We start from the raw sequence: 19,982 nt of genomic DNA, 5'->3' as shown, positions 1-19,982 counted from the left end.
GAAGCAGTGTGGGTCAGAAAGGAGACAAGCAACGTGGGCAGTTCTGAGACGTTTGTTGTGTGCCTGCCATGGCTCCATGGGCCAGGCTTGGCTGACTGGGCTGGGGGTTGGGGACAGGTGGTGAGGAGAAAAAAGGAAGGACACGTAATCACAGGAGCACATAAAGCACTCACATGACCTGAATTTCCTCCTTCAAAAGGATGCTGGGTACATGGCTGGAGGAGACAAGCCTCAGCTTCTACATCTCTCTCTCCCCCTAACTAACTGGGTTACCTTGGGTCAGTCATTTAAGCTTTTGGGGAGTGTTTCCCTTGCTTCATGTGTACCCAGTGGAAGAATTCCCTCTTCCCCTAAAGTGAATCATTGGAATGAAGGAGATGGCCTTTCTACACCAGGTGCACATTCATTCTCTGTTAGTCAAAAAGGGTCCATAGCTATCATTACATTCCCAGGAGACTCAGAAACATTGTGAGTTTTGTTGTTGGGTCGTCTTTAAGTCTTCCTAGCCACAGAAGCCTGGGGTCTGCCACCTGTCTGCATCATGACCTCTTCTGTTCTGATACCCCAGACATGAATCCTGTCTGTGCCTGCCTCCTGGAGGCTCTTAGGCTGCCATGCTCTGGGATCAATACTGTGTCTACTAAGTACAACAGAGGACGTAATTTGGACCATCTGACCATCTGATACACCAACTGACCAATGATATTGGCCAATGATAAGCCAGGGGACTTTGAGATATTGACAGGGAACTAGTCTGGAGAAATTTATTTTTCTGGCATTTTTTAATCTAGGTGAAAACCTAATTTGGGGTTCTCCCAGTAGACTGTGGTTTTAAATACAAACACTGGAGTTGTCTTGTGAAAAAGCCAGATACCAGCTCCGGCTCCATGTTCCTGACCTAGGGTGCCATACAGGCAGGATGACCAGAGGCTATTACCTGAAGCAGGGGTTGGCTTAACTTTTCCTGTCATAATTTAGCACATTTCTATAGTAATAATCTAGACTTTGTGGACTATACCATCTCTGTCATAACTGTTCAACTCTGATGTTTCAAAAACATCCATAGACAGTATGTAAATCAATGGACGTGGCTGTGTTCCAATAAAACTTTATTTACAAAAACAGGCAGTGGGTTGAATTTGGCCCGTGGGCCATAGTTTGCCAACCCCTGATCTAACAAGAGCAGGACACTTTAGAGAATAAAAGGGGAAACCTTTAACCTTGTGCCAGGAAAGCCGGTGTTGCACTGGGAGGGCCCATGTGATCAGGATTATCAACATTCTGAAAAGCCACATGGCTGGGGCCATTTGGGGGAGATAGGAATGGGTATCAGCTTGCTGTGTTTTTTCAAAGAACTGCTAGAGAAGGGTGCTGGGTACTCTGGGGGAAAAAAAAAAAAAAACCCTCTAAGGAATCTCACAGTTGAAGACCTCATTAGTCCATTACCGTGCTGCTACTAAGAACTGCCTAGGACTGGGTAATTTACAAAGGAAAGAAATTGACTCACAGTTCTGCAGGGGTGGGGAGGCCTCAGGAAACTTACAATAATGGCAGAAAGGGAAGCAGGCATGTCTTTCTTCACATGGCAGCAGGAAGGAGAAGTGCTGAGTGAAGTAGGGAAAAGCCCCTTATAAAACTATCAGATCTCATGAGAACTCAGTATCACAAGAACAGCATGGGGGAACCACCCCCATATTCTAATCACCTCCCACAAGGTCCTATCCCCAACACGTGGGGATTACAGTTCAGATTAGAATTCAAGATGAGATTTTGGGCGGGGACACAGCCAAACCATATCAAAGACTGTCCTGTTTGGCTGTGGAGATGTGTCCCCTGGAGGCATGCCTCTGGCTGTGACCAGGATGGTGTGGGCTGATGCCAGTGGCCGCTTCGAGTGGCTTACCCAAGGCATGTCTTTCTCTTTTGTTACTTGCAGCACCTGCAGCAGCATGAGAGTGGTGTAGAAGGTGAGAGCTGCTACTACCACTGCGTTCTGTGCAACTACTCCACCAAGGCCAAGCTCAACCTCATCCAGCATGTGCGCTCCATGAAGCACCAGCGAAGCGAGAGCCTGCGAAAGCTGCAGCGGCTGCAGAAGGGCCTTCCAGAGGAGGACGAGGACCTGGGGCAGATCTTCACCATCCGCAGGTGCCCCTCCACGGACCCAGGTGAGTGGTCTCACAGGCATGGGAGGCCCAGGTTGGGCCTGGGTGTTCACCTCCTTGAGACCTCCAGAGGACTTCTGTTTGAGGGAGACGTTACTGATCCAGCTGGTCCTCATGTTCCTTACTGACTTCACAGGTGAGCATTGTGTTTTGGAAGGAACATGCAGGGATTGTTGCCTGCCCGCCTTTCTGTCTTTTTTTCTTTTCTTTTCTTTCTTCTTCTTCTTCTTTTTTTTTTTTTTTTTTAAAGGAAATTGGCAGCACTTTTCTTGGAGCAAGGCTCAGTCTTAGGGAAGTCACAAGCTACTACCCAGGGAGCAGGCCAACAGAAGATACTCTCCTCTATTCTAAGATTCCTCCAGTACATACTTTAGATTCAATTTATTGGTTCAAATTGACAAAGCAGATGCTACATCGTGTGTCCTGCCCAGTATTAAGAGTAGTCAATTTGTGGCCTCAAAGTCTGGTCTGTAAAACTGAACTTTAGAGAGGAATAAAATAAGTGCTTGTTATAAAAATTTCAGTTGTATTTGGGAGTGATTCTGGGTGTTTCTTGGGTCCATGCTGCTTGCTGCTTCAATGCGTCGAGACCTGCTAGTGGGAGCTTGCCTCGTTTCTACCTCCCCATGTCATCTCCCTGCAGCCACCTTTTTCCCCACCTCCCTCCCTCCCTCCACCCATGACTCCGCCTTCCATAGGGACTTCATTGGGTAGAATCACCTCCTCTTTTCTATTTTTTCAATTTTCCAGTCTCTTGCTCTCCACTTAGACACACAAGACAGTCACTTACCTCTTTAGAAACCAAAACTTTCCAAGAAAAGCTCTCCTTTCATCCTAGGCCCCACACTGTCTCTACAACAGAATCTTCCAGATTCTTGAGAGAACCCTGTGAACTGCTCACCTCTATTCCATGTCTCAACCTCCTACAACCCATTTCCTCTGTCACCAAGCCACTCTTGGGAGGGCGCTGCTGATCTTTGATTGACACAGCCCAGGACCTGCTGGGCCTGACTGTTTTCTTTCTGCAATGTTTGAAATTGTTGCCCAGCCCTTTCTTGAAGCTCCCTTCCCCTTCCCTTGCCTTCCCTTGGCTTCCGGGGTGTTTTTCTCTTGTCCTCTGACTTCCCTTGATAGTTCTGCAAGCCTGACTCTGGCTGGTGGTTCTCAGCCTGCCCCATGTCCCTGGGCACAGGGCACTGTGGCCTGGTCCTCGGCTCCCAGCCTCTTGAGCTTTTGTGTCCTGGTGCTGCCAAATGCCTTTGTACAGCTTCCTGGACACCACTGGTCCCACCTCCCAGATGCTGAGCTTCGTGGACATCTCATTGGTCCCACCTCTTGGGCACCTGGCTCACCACTTTCTCTGCCACACTTCTTTTTCTTCTTAATGGCAGCTTGTCTAACGGCCTGGCCAAGCCAGAGACCCAAGGCCACTCCTGATCCTACAGTCTCCTGCAGTGCCTTCTCAGCCATTCAGCCATCATGGATGTGTGCAGTTTTAACCTTAATATAATCAAATTACACATTTTTATATTTTTTAAAGGCAAAAAGTTACATAAACTTTATGGAGAAGAGCATGGCCCTCTCCCACCCCCTTTTCCAGGGGATCAGCTTTCAACTTTCAGATATTTCTTTTGTTACTTATTTCCATGTTTCTTCTCATACTTCTACGACTGTTTCTTGTTTTTAAGTTTTAGATGTTACCTCTTGGCTTTCTACCTGGGCAGATGAGAATTTCACCAGTGTGCTGTTCCACAAACCCACCCGTGTACACACCTACACCCATACCCCAACCACAGACTCACGCAGACGGCACACACACCAGCCCGATACCTCATACACGTTCTCGCACGTGCGCGCACACACATACACTTTCTCTGCATCCTACACATTCCATCCACGCTCACATACACAGCCCACAGACAAGACACCATACCCACATACGTTGTACACACACACACCCCCTGTATACACTCACACACCCACACAAGCCATATACTACACCCACACGCCCCATCTGCGTGCACCTCCCCCACATACACTGCACCCCCCACATGCAAGCATCATAAACACATAGACACTGTACCCCCACACACCCCACACACACTGACATGCATCCCACACGCACCCTCACTCTACCCACAAATACACAGGCACTGCCCCGCACACTCCTGCACCCCCCACACAACAGTTGGACTCCCTCCCACTCCCCAGCTCCCTCCACACTCAGTCCTTCCTCCCTCCACCTTCCATTATGATTAAATAATAATTGGGGGTTATATTAATATTCAGTGTTTTCATTATTATAACTATAAATATTAATCGCAGCTGAGCCATGTAGAGTTTTATAATTTCATTTACCTTCTTGTACAACTTATTGTTTTCTCTGGTTTTCTAGGTACCTATGATTAATTCATGGCGAACCTTACTCTGCCAGAAGTAGACATTTCCTAATCTCTGAACGCTCTGCTCTATCAGTTTTTCTGTCAGCTTCATTTCCTCCTGGAGGCGTCCCTCCTAAGCCCCTCCAAAGCCCTCTGCCCACCTGCTCCTCTCTGGATCATCTGACTGCTCCTTCGCTGCCTCCTCATATAAATGAAACAGCAATTCCCAAATGATGGGATAGACCACAATTCAAGAATTTTTCTCCTTGCTAGAGTGGTTGAGGTTTCGACAGTCAGTAGAAATTGTTTGTTCAGGAAAGGGCTGTTGGGTACCGGGATAATTTTTGTCACTTGAAGGTCACTGCAAGACTGTCCCTTCCATGTGTTTTTCAAATGCCTCTTCTGGTTAAAGTTGAAACACCTTAATTGGTGGAGCTTCTGCTTTGCCTCTGATCCCATCCGTCTACATGGGAGCACTCTCAGGAGTAAGGGACGAGGATGGGCCTGAGGCTGAGGCCCCTGGGCCATCTGGCTGTAGGGGAGCCTGTGCCCCACCCAGGGATTGTGGCCTCTGTTTGATCCGCTGCTCTGCATTAGTGCACTGTTGAGTCATTCCCCGGATTCTCCTTCTTTCTACCAACACACCTAGACCTGTTTCTTGCTCAGGGTTTGTGCTTTGTTTGGGGTGTTTTTTTGGCCAGCTCTGCATACATCATTGTTTTAATCATCTGTTAAAAGCTGGTCCATTTCACCCTTCAATTCTTTCTTTTACTCTGCTCAGAATTCCTTTTGTATTAATGAGGTGCCCCACACTAAACAGTGTACAGCTGCCATTTCACCCAGAGTCGGTGACCTGGAACAAACAGTTCCCTGTTTTGGAATGTAGTGCTTCCGTGGATGCAGCCCGGCACCAGTGCCTTCGAGGTTCCTCTCATTTAGTGCATACTAGGGGTTTTTCCCCCGAGAAGTGTGTGAGCAACTTCAGTGGAGATGATAGACTTCCCTTCCGTATGTCAAGATGCTTTGGGATTGGCTTTGACCTGGAGTCATGTTTTTGCTCTCTCCCCTACTCCCTCCCTACACCATACTCCTCCCCTCCCACACACAGGCTCCAGTTCGGTCCATATAACTGATGACAAAAGGGACAAAGTATTACGTATTATTTATTCATATTGACATTAACAAGAACTTGGTTCCGTTTTAGGAACCACTTTAAGAAAACTCATCTTAAGATGTATCTTCCCTCTCCCCAGGGGTTGGCTCTTCAAAACTTGAAAGGATATCTTCAAGAGAACGGACATTATGGACCTGGTAGAATTGAGATGTTTAAGATGATCAACTTCAAATTTTGTAAACATCGACTTTATAGACTATTCCCAACTCTGTCCTCTTTAACATAAGGGTCAGGACATGATTTTTCAGCTAGAAATGTCATCCTGTGGCATCAGGAGCATTAGGAAGTCTTGGTGCACCTTTTAGGAGCCCCACCCACTCTGACCAGAAGCTCCCCATCCATGGCTGTGCTGTCTAGAGTTGGAAGTTCTGGCTTTCTGTCATCATCCTGCTAAGTGATGACATTCCTTCTCCTTTCCTCTTCTCCTCTGTTGTCCACATGCCACAGAATATTACACAAAACCCTTCAGAAATAACCCCTTGTCCTTTCTGAGTTCTGGACCTCATCCCCAGTCTCATGTCACCTCCTACAGGTATCTAGATGTCTCCTCCTAAGGCAGGAGGGGTGAACTCTGCAATAGTTTCTGCCCTGTGGATGATTCTGCAATAGTTTCTGCCCTGTGGATGACAAAAAATACCTATTCCCAGTTTACCTGTTACTTAAGTCACTTGTTTGCCAGTCGGTCCAGTTCATCATGTAGCCTGCCAACCCATGTGAACCTGTGGGTCTGGAGGAAGGAGTCGAGGTAGAAGAAATTGCAAAGGTCTCCTCCATCCCTTCAGAATCTTCTGGTAGCAGCCAGGATCTATATCTGCCATGACTGGCTACGTAACTCCTTGAGAGGCCTCGTGGTTGGGCACGTACATCTAAGTCCTGCCCTGCACCAGTGGACAGAGCCTTGGCCGCCAGCTGTGTGCTAATAGTTAGGCTTCTGTGCCCATGTGGCCCTGCCATGGCGGAGCTCTGCCCTTATGTCAGTGGGCAGGCCGAGTCCTGTGGTAAATTGTCTTTGGTTCAGTGTGATGGTCTTTGTCGTTACACTTTTCCACCCCTACCCCACAATAGACACAAGCACACAAGCCTGCTGGGCCTTCCTGTTTTAAAAATGGCTTGGAAATACATCTCTCAAAGACAGTAACTAACCAGGTGAGGTTCCTCTTCCAATCCCCACAATTTATTTTTATTGGCTTGAGTGTTTTTTCTGCAAGACCAAGTAGTCTCTGGAATTGGTTGGGATTTCGTCTCGGCATTTCATACTTACCCACCCACAGGTAGAAACCACTCGTCATCACTGGCCAATGCACTGGGCCAGAGCTCTGAGTTGCTGGCATCTGCCATTTGCTTCCCTGGTTTACCAGAAGCTCTTGAAAAATGGAGAGCTCTCAGAGGTGGGTCATGTGTAGGATCAGCTTCCCTGTTTGCTTATTTAAAAGGCATTTCTGGCTCCTGGGTGAAACTGTAGTTAACTTCATTCTATCAAGTGCCCTGGGCTTTGAGAACACAGGCCCTTTGTGTTTCTGCTGTCGGCCTTTCTCCTTCTCCTCCTCCTGTTTTCTCTCTTACTCGCCTTGTCCTAAGTACTTTTTCTTTCATGTAGACATAGACCTCCAAATTTTACATGCATGTAATTAAAGTTCAACAATTCTTTATTGACGACCTATTATATATAAGGCTTTTTATGAGTTGGAGAACATAGCTGATCACTGATCTCCTCTGCACTCTCAATATGGACACACTGATGACTAGACCAGCTCAGGCATTGGAAATAATTGGACCCGGACTCAGTTTACAGAGGGTGCACGATCATTCAGAATTTAAGAGACTTGTTTTGCTTGGAGCAAAAAGCAGTATCCTCCCTTTACAGATACGTCTTTGGCATTCATAGTAGCGAATTTCTGGGGCCAGAGAGGTGCACACAGCTTGCCAAGTGATAATGTGGTTTTGGTGACAGCCTTTACTGCAACACTCACTGGCCTCATTTGATGAATCACTTTTTAAACCAAGTTTCAGGGTGTTGTGCTTAATGTATACAGCTTAAGAGTTAAGAGACCAAGAATATATACTGTCTTCAGCTTTCTCACTTGATTTTGTTTTTATTTTGCAAAGTTGGTGTAAGGCTGCCCTCTAAATATAAAGTACATCTTTTTTTTTTTTTGTAAATAGCTAAATTATATGCAATTTCAGTGTAATTTTTCTGATAGCACTAAAATATGTTGTGGCCAGCTCTGAATTTCTGAAATATTGTTTTTATAAAATCAGCACACCCACGCTCTTTCTCCTTTCCTTTTTACTGTATGTCTTGTTTACCGGGTTTGGGGAAGGTATAGGAACTTAAAGTATTTTTAACTAGAGAAGTTAAATGTAAAAGTGCATCAAAACAAATGGGGGTGACTGAAATTTTAAGCATTGATGGAGGCATGGGGAAAACATGACTTTATCTGTCTAAAGGACATTCCCTGATGAAGGACTGTTTGGACAGGGATTGTAAATTTCAGCAAGCTTTTTAGAAAGATGCTTTACAATGCAAGGGTAAAGAGAGGTCATTATGTATGAACATGAAAAGAGAACATAATGTTGTTAAATGAAAAATGGAGTTTACAGGATAACATAGGTTGATTCCTTTTTGTAAGTATTTTTCTTACAGCTTTTAAAATATTCAAGCAAGGAGTTAGTGACTGGTGTCTCTGGCTGTTTTGGCGGTGGGATGTATTTATATGGACTCTAACAGAATGTCAGATGTGTGGCAAGGGCTCAGAATGGTGGTGGTGCTTGTTGATAGAGATTTTAGCAGAATCACTAACAGGCTACGAAGAAGTAAATCTTGGTTGTCTTTTGTTCATGGAGATGTTTTTTATTTGCCAATATTCGTAGTTTGATTACTCTGTGATTCTCCTGCATTTTGCATTTACATAGAGAGGATAGGAGTAGTTCTCAGGGTGTATACTGTCTTGTTTTTCTGTTGGAACAGAGTTCTTGATTTGCCTTAATTAGTCCTCTAACAATCTGCAAAGGTCAGTGCCAATTGCCTGTTCATTTACATTTGTAATTGTGATGGCTTCTGATTACATATTCCTTGTCTTAGTCCATCCTAAGTATATGCTAGTGTGTCCTCCCCACTACCCGCTACACACACACACACACACACACACACACACACACACACACACACACACACACACACACACACACACACACACACACCCCAGAGTGGTGTGAAGGCCAAAAATCTGACTCCTCATAGAAGAAACCTTTGTAGCGACTGCCCAGCCTCACTGGCACTTCAGTGTCTGTTCTGGAAAGCCATCTTGGAGACGCTATTGCTTCTAAGTTAGGGATATAATGAAGCCAGAGTCAGGGAAATTACGTCGATACCAGGCAAGAAATCTGAGAGCCATTATCTAGGAGCCTTGTTGAACTGAGTAATTAAGGGCAATTAAACTTTTCTGCTTGCTCTCTGCAAAATATGCTAATGATCTGGTCTGCTGGAAGGTGGACATATGCAGTGCTGTTTCACTGCTGTCAGACGCTGCTGCCCTGGAAGGTCCCCCTGGAGAAGGTGTGGCATCACCAGGATGGTCAGGTGGGCAGTGGGTTGAGCGTGCAGCCTCGTACCCAGCCTCCTGTGTCCTGGCTGGCTGTTCCAGGACTTGCACCTTTTCAGCAGTTATCTAGACCTGGCCGCAGTGGCCTGAGTTGCAGTGATTCGTATTCACTCATTCTTTGATGTTCTAGATCCACCATTCATTCGTTGCGTTATTTTTCTGGGATGATGAAGCTACCAGGGTTTTGTGCGTGTTGTTTCAGCATATGACACGTGGCACCAGCTGTACACTGCCCTTCTGGTTAGTGTTGTTCTTGGTCAAGGGCTCCAGGCTGTCTTCCATGCTATCTTCATGAGTGGGTGGCAGCACGTGCCCAACGCTGCCCACTGGGAGAAGCATTGATACTGTGGCCACTCACTGCAGAGAGGGTTTTTTTTGGCACAGCAAAAAAAAAAAAAAAAAAAGGAAAAAGGGGTACCTGCTGATGGTTCCTGGAATTAGGAGAGACAGTATATGGGTGTGTTTGCATTTGTTGAGGGGTGAGCATTGGGCGGGGGTCCTCTTTTTAGGGGTGTGAGTATGCCAGAGACCCCCGTTGGCTCATCAGAGCCCAGTGACATGGGGACCCCCAAGGGAGCCACAGGACATCATGTCATACCAAGTGTTCTTTCTGTGAAACCTTTATTTCGAAACATCCCAAGTCACCTTCGAAAGGTGTATCCAAGAAACTTGAAAATCTGAAACTCCACCCTAAAGTGAATATGGATAGCTAGCCAGTCAGTGGGTGTTTGTGCTGGGCTGGGAGTTGGGGGTGCTGTCCCTGGATTTGGGGGTGCTGTCCCTGGATTTCACTGGAGGGGAGAGACCTCCTAAAGCCGACAGTGTAGCAGGAAGTGGCAGCCGTCCTCTGCTGTCTCCTGCCATGTGTGCAGACCCCTCCCATATGGATCCCCTATCCTAGCCTCTGGAGTTCACACTTTCTCCACTGCCTGAATGGATGTTTCTCGAGAAATAATGATTTGTACCTGTACCGTCTTTAGGAATGTCCAAAGAATCCATTTCTAGGGCTACTTACATCCTATATGAAACTTGTTCCCGACCTTGGTAGGGGCCAGGGAGGAAATAGAACATGCATCTATCTCTCTGCGTACAGAAATAGCTCAAAGGCTTTTTCTCAGAGTCACAGATGTTAAGGAACCCCCTTCAAACTGTGACCCAATTATAAGAATTATGGTTCCAAATTATTTTTTTCAAACATTGACGAGCAGTGGAAAGTTTTGTGGCCTCAGTCTAAGTGCTGCCCATACCTCCCTGGTTCCTGGGCTTTCTGGTCTCCTGAGAGCCACAAGGAAGCTTCTCAAAATTCTCTGTTAATGCTAAATAAAATTTTAAATCCAGTTTCTGCATCATATTAACCAGATTTCAAGTGCTTAATAGTGCCATGGGGCTCATGGTTAACTTAGACAATACAGATTTCTAGAGCAGTTCAGAAGGTTCTGTTGGACCATGCTCAGCTCCTCCTCACTGGGTTTCCTCAGACTTCTGGTAGACCCAGGCTAGGTTTGGGGCTACATTTTCCTTAATATTTTTTGGCTTGCATTTTAGAGAAGTGTGGTTCCCGCCAGCCTGGATAGGGTACATCTTTTCTTGCTGATCTTTCTCTCTGTTTCACAGTTTTTCTCAGTTTGGGAGAACAGTCTTCAAATAAGCATTTAATTTTGCTTTTTGCTACTTATGTCTTATTCCATTAGCAGTTTTGAGGGACTTTGAAAGGACTTTGTAAAGATGTGTTTTTCAGAGTGGATGTTAAATGGGTTTTTATAGTTTTATGCCTCAAGACTATCTTGAGACCTTTTGTGTATATGTTAATAAAAGGAGCCATTTATTGCTTTTAAAAGATCTTTGACCTCTGCTCTAATTAGAATATCAAAAATCAGACAATGTGTGATTTTCCTGGTACAGGGCCATCTGTTGTTTCAACCCAAAATTTTATCAAAAATTGTCATATTATAAAGTCAAAAAAGAATGTGTGTATTTTTCACCCCCCGTTTCCATTGGTTGGCTGAAACAAAAGAAGTGTATTTTCTCACAGTTCTGGACGCTAAAGGTTCAAGATCCAGGTGCCGGCAGTTTTGGCTTCTCCCGAGGCCTTGGTCTCATATAGCCTGGTCTCTGTGAGTCCCCCTGGTGTGTCTCTGTATGATTAGGACATACCAGATAGATTGGATTAGGGTCTACCCTAAAGGCCTCACGTTAACCTAATCACCTCCTTAAAAGTCCTGTCTCCAGTCATAGCTACATCCTCAGGTACTGGAGGTTGGGACTTCAACCTAGGACACTGGGAGGACCACAGTTCAGTCTATTACCCAGACTTTCTGATATCTGAAGCCAGTTTCTTGTTTCCTTTTCTGTGGTCACTTTGGGTGGGGCAGGAGGGTAGGACAGAAGGTGGTGGGAGAGATGAAGGGAGGTCATGGAGATCCTGGAAGTCGCCTCGGACAGAACTGTCAGCGCCCACCAGGCCTTCTCTGGTTTCCTGCTCGCAGCACACGGTTCTCAGTGCTGGCCTTGGCATGGGATTAACTACTGCGACCTCGCTGGAAGGGGACTCCAAATGAAGCCGGAAGTGCTCAAAGACACTTGTTAGGACAGGAAAAGGGGTCAGAGCCCTGTGTCCTCTGAGCCCATTTTACCATGACTCTTTCCTTGCCTGTTCTCACACAGCCCTCACCGAAACCTTCTTGCTGGCAAACACCAAGAGGACTGACAGCCGGCCACGTGGAGGAAGGTTCTTGTGCCTGTGAAATTTGATGGTCTTAGCATCGAGAAAAGCTGCCTTTGCTGAAGGTGCTCCAGCAGGCTGGCCTGTGTTAGGCTCCTGTTGGAGGGATTTATAGAAATAAAAACTCCTTAGCTGGGCATGGTGGCTCACACCTGTAATCCAGCACTTTGGGAGGCCGAGGCGGGCGGATCACTAGAGCTCAGGTATTGGAGACCAGCCTGGCCAACATGATGAAACCCCACCTCTACTAAAAATATAAAAATTAGGCAGGTATGGTGGCGGGTGCCTGTGATCCCAGCTTCTCGGGAGGCTGAGGCAGGAGAATCACTTGCACCTGGGAGGCAGAGGTTGCAATGAGCAGAGGCCGCGCCATTGCACTTCAACCTGGGCGACAGAGCGAGACTCCGTCTCAAAAGAAAAAAAAGAAATAGAAACCCCTCCTTGCTGCCCACTGTGCTTTTAGGGACTAAGCAGATCTCCCTGGGCTTGTGTGTGGTGTTTGTGCTCTGGTTGGGGTAGATGCTACCTAGAGCCTTACAATTTTCTATGACCCATTAGGGTATAGAATTCAATAGGGGGCCAGCTGATTGACTGGACTTCCATCCAAAGGATTTCAGTTGCTCGAAGTACCTGAAGGACTTTTAATTCCTTGGTTTTTCCTTACCCTGTGTTATATACTCCAGGCTGGACATAATATAAAGATCCCAGTGTGTATATTGTTACCTTGTGTAGCTTTCATTCGGAGCCCGTCCTTCACTTGCGCTTCCAGGGCAAGTCACATCCTGCTTCCCATGGCTGGTCTTTCCCAGATTGAGCCTGTGATGTGAGCCTCGAGGGCAGCCTCCACAGGGCCGTTCCTGTCCTGCACGAGCATAAAGCAGAGGCGAACTCGGACCCTTCCTGGCAATCTTGGATGTCTCATGTCGCTAGGTTCCCATTGCAGCGGCCCATCTGTCTCAGTGCCATGTGGCTAGTGGCTGCTGTATTGGATGTGCAGACAGAAGCCATTTCCTTCCCTGGAGAAGGTTCCTGAGGACAGGGCTGCTGTAGACAGCAGCAGAGTAGGGACTTGGTACAGAGGCCCAGGGCCCAGGGCTGTGCTCTTCCCACTGCGTCTGGCCTCCTTGCTGCAGGCTGACAAACTCATCCACGGGACAAGTAGCACTTTGCCCCAGGGGTGGGATTCTTTGTGTCTAGATAACAGTGTGATCCATTGCTGGATTCTCTCCAGGATAGAAATGAAGAAATCCTAAGACTGCGGTGAGCAAAGCAGCAGCAGTTATCTGTGACTCTGCACACTCCAGAGCGCGTGCCTCGGGTTGCTCTGAGAAGTGGAAACAGTTTGCATGGTTTTCCTAATGTCCAAAGCCCTTTGTGACTTCCTTGTGTGAGTCCATTTCAGAAGCATTGAGAAGCCCCACAGCATGGGGAGGGCAGCCCTGATCTGATTGGCCCTGGCAGGGGTCCTCACTGGAGTGGCTTCTAGCCTGTCACCGGCACTGGCACCAGTGAAGTGCGTGTGTGATGAGGATGTAGCCTGGCCATCTGCTATGCAGCCTTGAACCCAGCCCACATGTTTTTATGGCAATAATGGGAATTTTGTAGTAGATGTCAGCTGGACTTTTGGTAGGTGAGTTTTTTTTGTTTTTTTGTTTTTGTTTTTGTTTTCTTTTTTTGTAGAGACAGGGTCTTTACACAGGCTGGAGTGCAGTGGCACAATCATGGCTCACTGTAGCCTCCATCTCCTGGGCTCAAGTGATCCTCCTGCCTCAGTCTTCCAAGTAGCACAGGCATGCACCACCACACCTGGCTAGTTTTTTCATTTGTAGACAGGGTCTCACTATGTTGTCAGGGCTGTTCTTGAACTCCTGGCCTCAAGTGATCCTCCTGCCTCAGCCTCCCAAAGTTGTGACTTGCCCTGTTCAGGTTTACAAGCCCACTATAATTCAGGTGTGAGTTGCCTCCTTCACCACTCAACCCGTGGCCCCCAGTTAAGGGGGCTTCTTTGGGCAGGAAATAGAGGCGCCATGTCTCCAGCAACCTTGAGTACAGGGCTGACTGCAAGGAGGAGGGGCCTGAGTTGACCTGAACTTTGAAGAATCCACGCACGTGCTTGTCTGGGATCAACATAGCTCTTTGGGGCTCTCTGTTTTAGCCCAGGGATCAGAAGTTTTTTTTCTAAAAACCAAATCCTTTCCTAGTGACTCACCGCCCAAGTATGAAACACAGGAAAGACTTTTGTCCTTTTAACTTGAGGACGAGTCGTCTCTACTACAACATAAACACCAGACACGAAGAATGAGAAACTTACTGTGCTCAGGGTGTGTGCTATGATGACTAAGGCAAACTGAGATTCTCCTCCTACGCTGGACACTCTGATGCGTGGTCACTTTCCGCAGACCATCTTCATACAGAAGACCGTGATGTTTATTTCCACAATAAGAATTTGATCTCACTATTAGATATTGTAACAACAACACCAACAACAACAACAGAAAAACCTACACAGTGCCTTAACACCTTTGTTCTCTTGGTGGCCCCAGCGCTGCGAGTCCAGAGGTCATTATCCGATTCTTGAGGGCTGATGACCTACTTCTGATTTCCATATCTAGCTGGCCTTGGACAGACAGGCCTGATCGAATTCTGCAGCCATTTGATTCCCTGCGGACCTGTGCCCAGACCCTGGGCGGATCTGAAGACTTCCTCAGAACACATAAGACCGGGGAGATTTGTGCCATACCGGGCTGTTTTCTCTGAGCTTTGCTTTAATCAGGAATGTAGACTATTTTTTGGTTTTGGTAGATGGCGTGCAGGGGCAGGGCATCCAGTCATTCCTGTAAGGCATTATTACAGGGCTAATTGGGAAATAGTGATTCTTTTTCAATAACTATTTTGGAATCACCCCCCTTTCTCCCCCGCCAAGTCTCTGTTCCCCTTGGGATTGTCAGGCTCACGTTGAAAGACCCCCAGAGGGAAGGATGTTGGCATATATCATAGATATCTGGAAAGAATGTTTCAACCACACCTGGCTGCCGTGTGTGAGGACAAATTTAATTTATTTTAAAAATCTGGCCACAGGCGGCTTTTTCTGTTTGTTTCTTTAGGGGGGAAAAAAATTGAAAAGCAGCAGCAAGCTATGGTTCACATTTGTTTTCTTCCAGATTGGACCAGCCAGGAGAAGAGAGATTATCTCTAAAGGATATGAAAGGTTTAATCATTTTAATTTTGTTTTTATTAAAGTATATCATAACTTTTTTTTTTTTCAACATGCCTGGGTAGAACAGGAGAGAAGAGGAGGTAATATAAATATACAGAAACCCTCAAGCATTTGGTTAATAAAACTTTCCAACGGGCGATGCCTCGTGGGGAGGAAGTGGTTGGATGGCTGGGGATGGTGGGCCGACTGGGGAAGGCGGTGACTGCGCTGAATCGTAGCCAGCATCTTGCAAGCTTCCTGTCCAGTTCCAGCAGACACTTGTGGGAGCTCAGAGCTTTCATGAAACTGAATGAGAAGAAGCTCTGACTGTGGGCTTATTCCATCATGTTTCTCAAGCGAGACTGGATCCCTGAGCCATCTGTGGCTGAAGAAGTCTGAATTTACAGAGAACAGTAAAATTTGCTTCTATAAGATTCTTCCACCCCTACCATCTCAATGAAATATTTGAACCCGGTTATTTTGAAAACTTGCTTTAGGCCAAAACCTCTGAAGTTGCATGCATGCACGTGTGTTTTATGAAGCGGCGAAGTTGGGATAAAAATAGCCTTAGTTTTTGGATAGAAAAACTATCCTATAAATTATGGTGAAACTGAGTAACCAGGATGCTAGATTAACAGGATTTTAGGCTCGTTTTCCCTTTAGGACAGAAAAATAAGCTCATTTCAACATTAATTCAATTGTCAAAAATCACCGGGGCATGGGCTGGAGTTATCATCACAGGTGTTCACTGTGGCCTCCCCTCTCTTCCAGGGCTGTAAAACTCTGCAAAGGCGTGACTGTTTGGAATTCCAGCCCTGGGACCGGGCAGGTTGTTGCATCACCTGATAATGATGAAATTATCTTTACCATTATGTTCTTACAAAGGCTTGAAATTTGACTTGCACATTTTAGACATCGCTTTAAGCAGCAGGATTAAAGCATTGTCATCTCGTTACACCTGACTTAACGTGGCAGTTCAGTTAACCCTATACCAGTCTTTAAGTTTTTGGCTGCATTAGCGTTTACAGTACTTTCCACAGCATTTTTATGGGCGGAATGGTTTGTTCATCAAGGAGAAGCAGCTCTTCTAGTGAAAGCTGCAACTCCAGTTCCCTGAATGAAGTAGAAACTGCACTGAGGCTTCAACTTAGCCGTGTGAGCAATGATCTGGCCTCTAGCAGGCTGTGTAGATAGTCACATGTTTTATGAAATTTCCCTCAGGGATTCCCGGGGCATCTGGGCTGTGCCTCCTGGCACAGAGGGCTTCCAAGAGGAGCTGTGTTGGATCTGCAGCCTCCCTGCAGGGCTGGGCTCACAACCAAGCCAGGTCTCCCCGCTGGGAAAGGGATCCAGAGCCCAGTTTCTGCCCCCAGTCTGCAGGTATCTGCCGTATTCAGTGAGCTGTGTTCCAGGTGGAAGAGCGGCCAGGCCACCTTACTGGCCTGTAAGTTTGGAATTCCCTATGGGAGTTCCCTATGGGAATTCTCTATGGGAGTTCCCTGAGCCAGTAAGGGGCAGTTTTCTTGGTTAATCTCAGCTAGAGTTGTATGAGCACTAAAACGGAACAAACACTGGCCCATATCATTCTCTGTGAGCTTCTTGATGGGAGCACAGCATCAACAGGTTAGGCAGCCCCCTTTCAGAGGAAGAGAGACCTGACACCTCTCCTGTCCAGGACTTCTGTCCCAGGTTGGACTGGATGACCCCAGCAGTTGTGGTGTGTAGGTCTTGGTCCTTGTTTTTGAAGCTGTATCACAGGCTATGAAGACAGCAGAAGGTGGGGGAAAAAAAGGTTATTCTTTTGTTTCACACCACTCAGCTATAGATCACAGAAACACTCCAAAGTGGCTTTAATGAGTTAGGAGGGCATGGTGTGGTGGCTTACGCCGGCAATGCCAGCACTTTGGGAGGCCGTGGCAGGAGGATACTGGGAGCCCAGAAGTTTGAGTCTACCCTGGGCAACACAGCGAGACCCTGTCTCAAAAAAAAAAAGAGGTTTCATTTTTCCTTATATAAGCAGCCTTGGGAGGAGGGCAGTCAGGTGCAGAAGTGAAGGTTCCACTGAGTCAGCAGACATCCACTTTCCTTCTATGTTTCCATGTAGCCATTCTCACCAAGCGCTTGTTGCCTCCTCATGGTCTAAAGATGGCTCCTCCAGGCCAGGCGCGGTGGCTCACGCCTACAATCTCAGCACTTTGGGAGGCCGAGGCGGGCAGATCACGAGGTCAGGAGATCGCATCCTGACTAACACCGTGAAACCCCGTCTCCACTAAAAATACAAAAAATTAGCCTGGTGTGGTGGCGGGTGCCTGTAGTCCCAGCCACTCGGGAGGCTGAGGCAGGAGAATGGCGTGAACCCGGGAGGCGGAGTTTGCAGCGAGCCGAGATTGTGCCACTGCACTCCAGGCTGAGCGACAGAGTGAGACTGTCTCAAAAAAAAAAAAAAAAAAAAAAAAAAAATCAAAAAATCCTCCATCTGAGCTCCAGGCACAAGAAAGTGAGGCTGGTGAGAGTGCATGCGTCACGAAAGACCACCTGTTTAAAAGTTTCCTCCAAAGCCCCGCCCACTTGCTTTATCTTACATCTCATTGGCTGGGACTGCATCATATGACTGTCCTCGGGCACAACAGACAACAGGTTTTGGCTGAGGGTATTGTGCTTTGAATAAAGTGAGTGTTCTGTTAGCAAGGAAGTATGCTTATTACGAAGGCAATTAGAAACATCAGCCATACGCCTTTTAAAATATAAGAAGATTAAGTAAACTGTGTTACGATTATGTGGTGGAAATCTGTGTAGCCATTAAGAATAATGTTCTTGATTAATATTTAAGGATATGGAAGCAAGCTCCGTAGACTGAGGGGTGGGTAGCAAGACCCAAAAACACATATAATTGTCACAGTTTCCTTTAAAATATCTATATGAAGACAGCACTGATTATGGACAATTTTCGTCTTCATACTTTCTCTGTTTTCAAGATTTTTGACAATAGGCACTTAGGCTTTTATGATCAGAAAAAAATTGGCGAACTTGAAGTGTAAGGAGCAGAAAACCTGGTAATTACTACCTCGTATATGAACTATACTTGATGGAAAAAATAAAATGAGTAATAAAAGGGAAAATCTATAAACACGTAGTGATAATGGAATGATGACGAGTAGCTGAGGTGGTACGGATTCATCAAGAACAAATCTCATCATACTAATAAGATAAAATGAAAGAACGTACCTGAATTCTCATTGAAAAGGGAAGTCGTGCAAATGCAAATTTGTATTCTGGGGCCTCTAAATGTGCAGCAGAAACATTTGCCATTTTCTCCAAGCATGCTTTTGGAGTCATTCAGAGGCATTCTTTCCCCTTCATTCTTGCATTGAAAACATTAGGGCATGTTGAGCTTTGCAGCTGTTTATTAAACATCTGTTAGTTGTAAATACTGGTTGCTGTGAGGGAATATAAAAAGAACAGAAGAAATGAGCCCAGCCTATGATCTTTTGGAAGGATGTGAAAAATACGCCCATTGAAGGTTAACAGGGTTCAAGATGATCCGTAGTGAGTAGCAGAGAGTGGAACAGGAAGTAAATACTCTGGGCCTTCGAGGGTGAGGAATTCCTGGACTGAATGGTGGGGAAGCTCTAAGGAGAGAGTCAGGCTGAAACTGGAAAGATAAATCAGTAGAGACAGAGGAAGAAGACCCCAGGCTGTTGTGGGAGTTCAGGACTCTGGTCGGGAGCCAATGAGCAGGCCATTCTGCCTAAAGAGAGGATCTTGGGCAGGGCCAAAAATTGCAATCCCATTTTCTTCCATCTTTCGGAAGTCTAGTTTTGCCCATCCCCCACCCCCCACCATCTTTTGAAAGGCGTGTAGGTGAGTGTGAATATCATAGATTTATTTAAAACAAATACATGGCCAGGCACGTGGCCCATGCCTCTAATCTGAGCACTTTGTGAGGCCGAGGCGGGTGGATCACTTGAGGTCAGGAGTTTGAGACGAGCCTGGCCAACATAGTGAAACCCCTTCTCTACTAAAAATACAAAAAATTAGCCAGACATGGTGGCGCGTGCCTGTAGTCTCAGGTACTCCGGAGGCTGAGGCATGAGAATTGCTTGAACCCGGGAGACGGAGGTTGCAGTGAGCCAAGATCACCCCACTGTGCTCCAGCCTGGATGACACAGTGAGACTCTGTCTCAAAAAAAGCAAAACACAAATACCTGAAAACTCCTATTTTTCTCGTAATCTCCTAAACAAATTGAGAACCTAGAGAGTACTTTCACATGTTGAATTCTGAGTAAAAAGAAAGCCTTAAAGAGGGGAATAATATGTTGATTTTGGGGCTATTTGTATTGGAGGGGAACTGCAAGTGCTGATAGGAGCTCTGTTTTCATTGAACATTTTCCTCAATATGGAAACAATAAGTAGTAAATGAAATTTGCATATCATCTGAAATATGCATAATATATATAATTGCAATACTTAAGAATACAAAATTATATAATTGGACTGGGGATGTTAGGAATCTTATTTTAATTTCAATTTGTAATTCCTTGAAATTTTTTTTTTGTTTTTTGTTTTTGGAGACAGAGTCTCACTCTGTTGCCCAGGCTGGAGTGCAAGTGCGGTGGCAGGATCTCGGCTAACTGCAAGCTCCGACTCCCGGGTTCATGCCATTCTCCTGCCTCAGCCTCCCCAGTAGCTGGGACTACAGGCGCCCACCAGCACGCCTGGCTAATTTTCTGTATTTTTAGTAG

At 46.2% G+C, this 19,982-nt stretch overlaps 1 protein-coding gene and 1 long non-coding RNA gene across 11 annotated transcripts in view, besides 3 other annotated features; one reads left to right on the top strand and one right to left on the bottom strand.

Annotated features, from left to right (window-relative positions):
- The window catches only part of ZFHX3 (zinc finger homeobox 3), a 1,109,046-nt gene that overhangs the window by 1,000,032 nt on the left and 89,032 nt on the right, over nucleotides 1–19,982 (top strand). For all 10 annotated transcript variants that reach the window (NM_001386735.1, XM_047434166.1, NM_001164766.2 and 7 more), the window contains one exon: nucleotides 1,937–2,168. In NM_001386735.1, coding sequence (NP_001373664.1) covers nucleotides 1,937–2,168 — 232 coding nt within the window. The remainder of the gene's footprint in view (nucleotides 1–1,936; nucleotides 2,169–19,982) is intronic.
- Nucleotides 1,503–2,003: an enhancer, noted in NCBI's record as "H3K4me1 hESC enhancer chr16:72923795-72924295 (GRCh37/hg19 assembly coordinates)". NCBI's record gives its function as "activates a minimal SCP1, AML or CMV promoter by ChIP-STARR-seq in naive H9 embryonic stem cells {active_cell/tissue: H9 hESC(naive)}" and the evidence as "EXISTENCE:reporter gene assay evidence [ECO:0000049][PMID:30033119]".
- Nucleotides 13,140–13,641: an enhancer, noted in NCBI's record as "H3K4me1 hESC enhancer chr16:72912157-72912658 (GRCh37/hg19 assembly coordinates)". NCBI's record gives its function as "activates a minimal SCP1, AML or CMV promoter by ChIP-STARR-seq in primed H9 embryonic stem cells {active_cell/tissue: H9 hESC(primed)}" and the evidence as "EXISTENCE:reporter gene assay evidence [ECO:0000049][PMID:30033119]".
- Nucleotides 13,656–14,855: an enhancer, noted in NCBI's record as "CDK7 strongly-dependent group 2 enhancer chr16:72910943-72912142 (GRCh37/hg19 assembly coordinates)". NCBI's record gives its function as "activates an origin of replication core promoter dependent on BRD2, BRD4, P300/CBP, MED14 and CDK7 cofactors, with strong dependence on CDK7, by STARR-seq in HCT116 cells {active_cell/tissue: HCT116}" and the evidence as "EXISTENCE:reporter gene assay evidence [ECO:0000049][PMID:35650434]".
- On the bottom strand, nucleotides 15,259–19,561 carry LOC124903715 (uncharacterized). The gene is made up of 2 exons (XR_007065111.1): nucleotides 18,466–19,561; nucleotides 15,259–16,999 (listed from the first exon to the last, which is right to left on the bottom strand). It is a non-coding gene; the product is annotated as an uncharacterized LOC124903715 (long non-coding RNA).

This window comes from Homo sapiens, chromosome 16 (genome assembly GCF_000001405.40).
Source record: "Homo sapiens chromosome 16, GRCh38.p14 Primary Assembly".
Taxonomy (NCBI): domain Eukaryota; kingdom Metazoa; phylum Chordata; class Mammalia; order Primates; family Hominidae; genus Homo; species Homo sapiens.
Note: the sequence above shows the minus strand (reverse complement) of the source record. Positions and strands in the feature narration are given on the sequence as shown.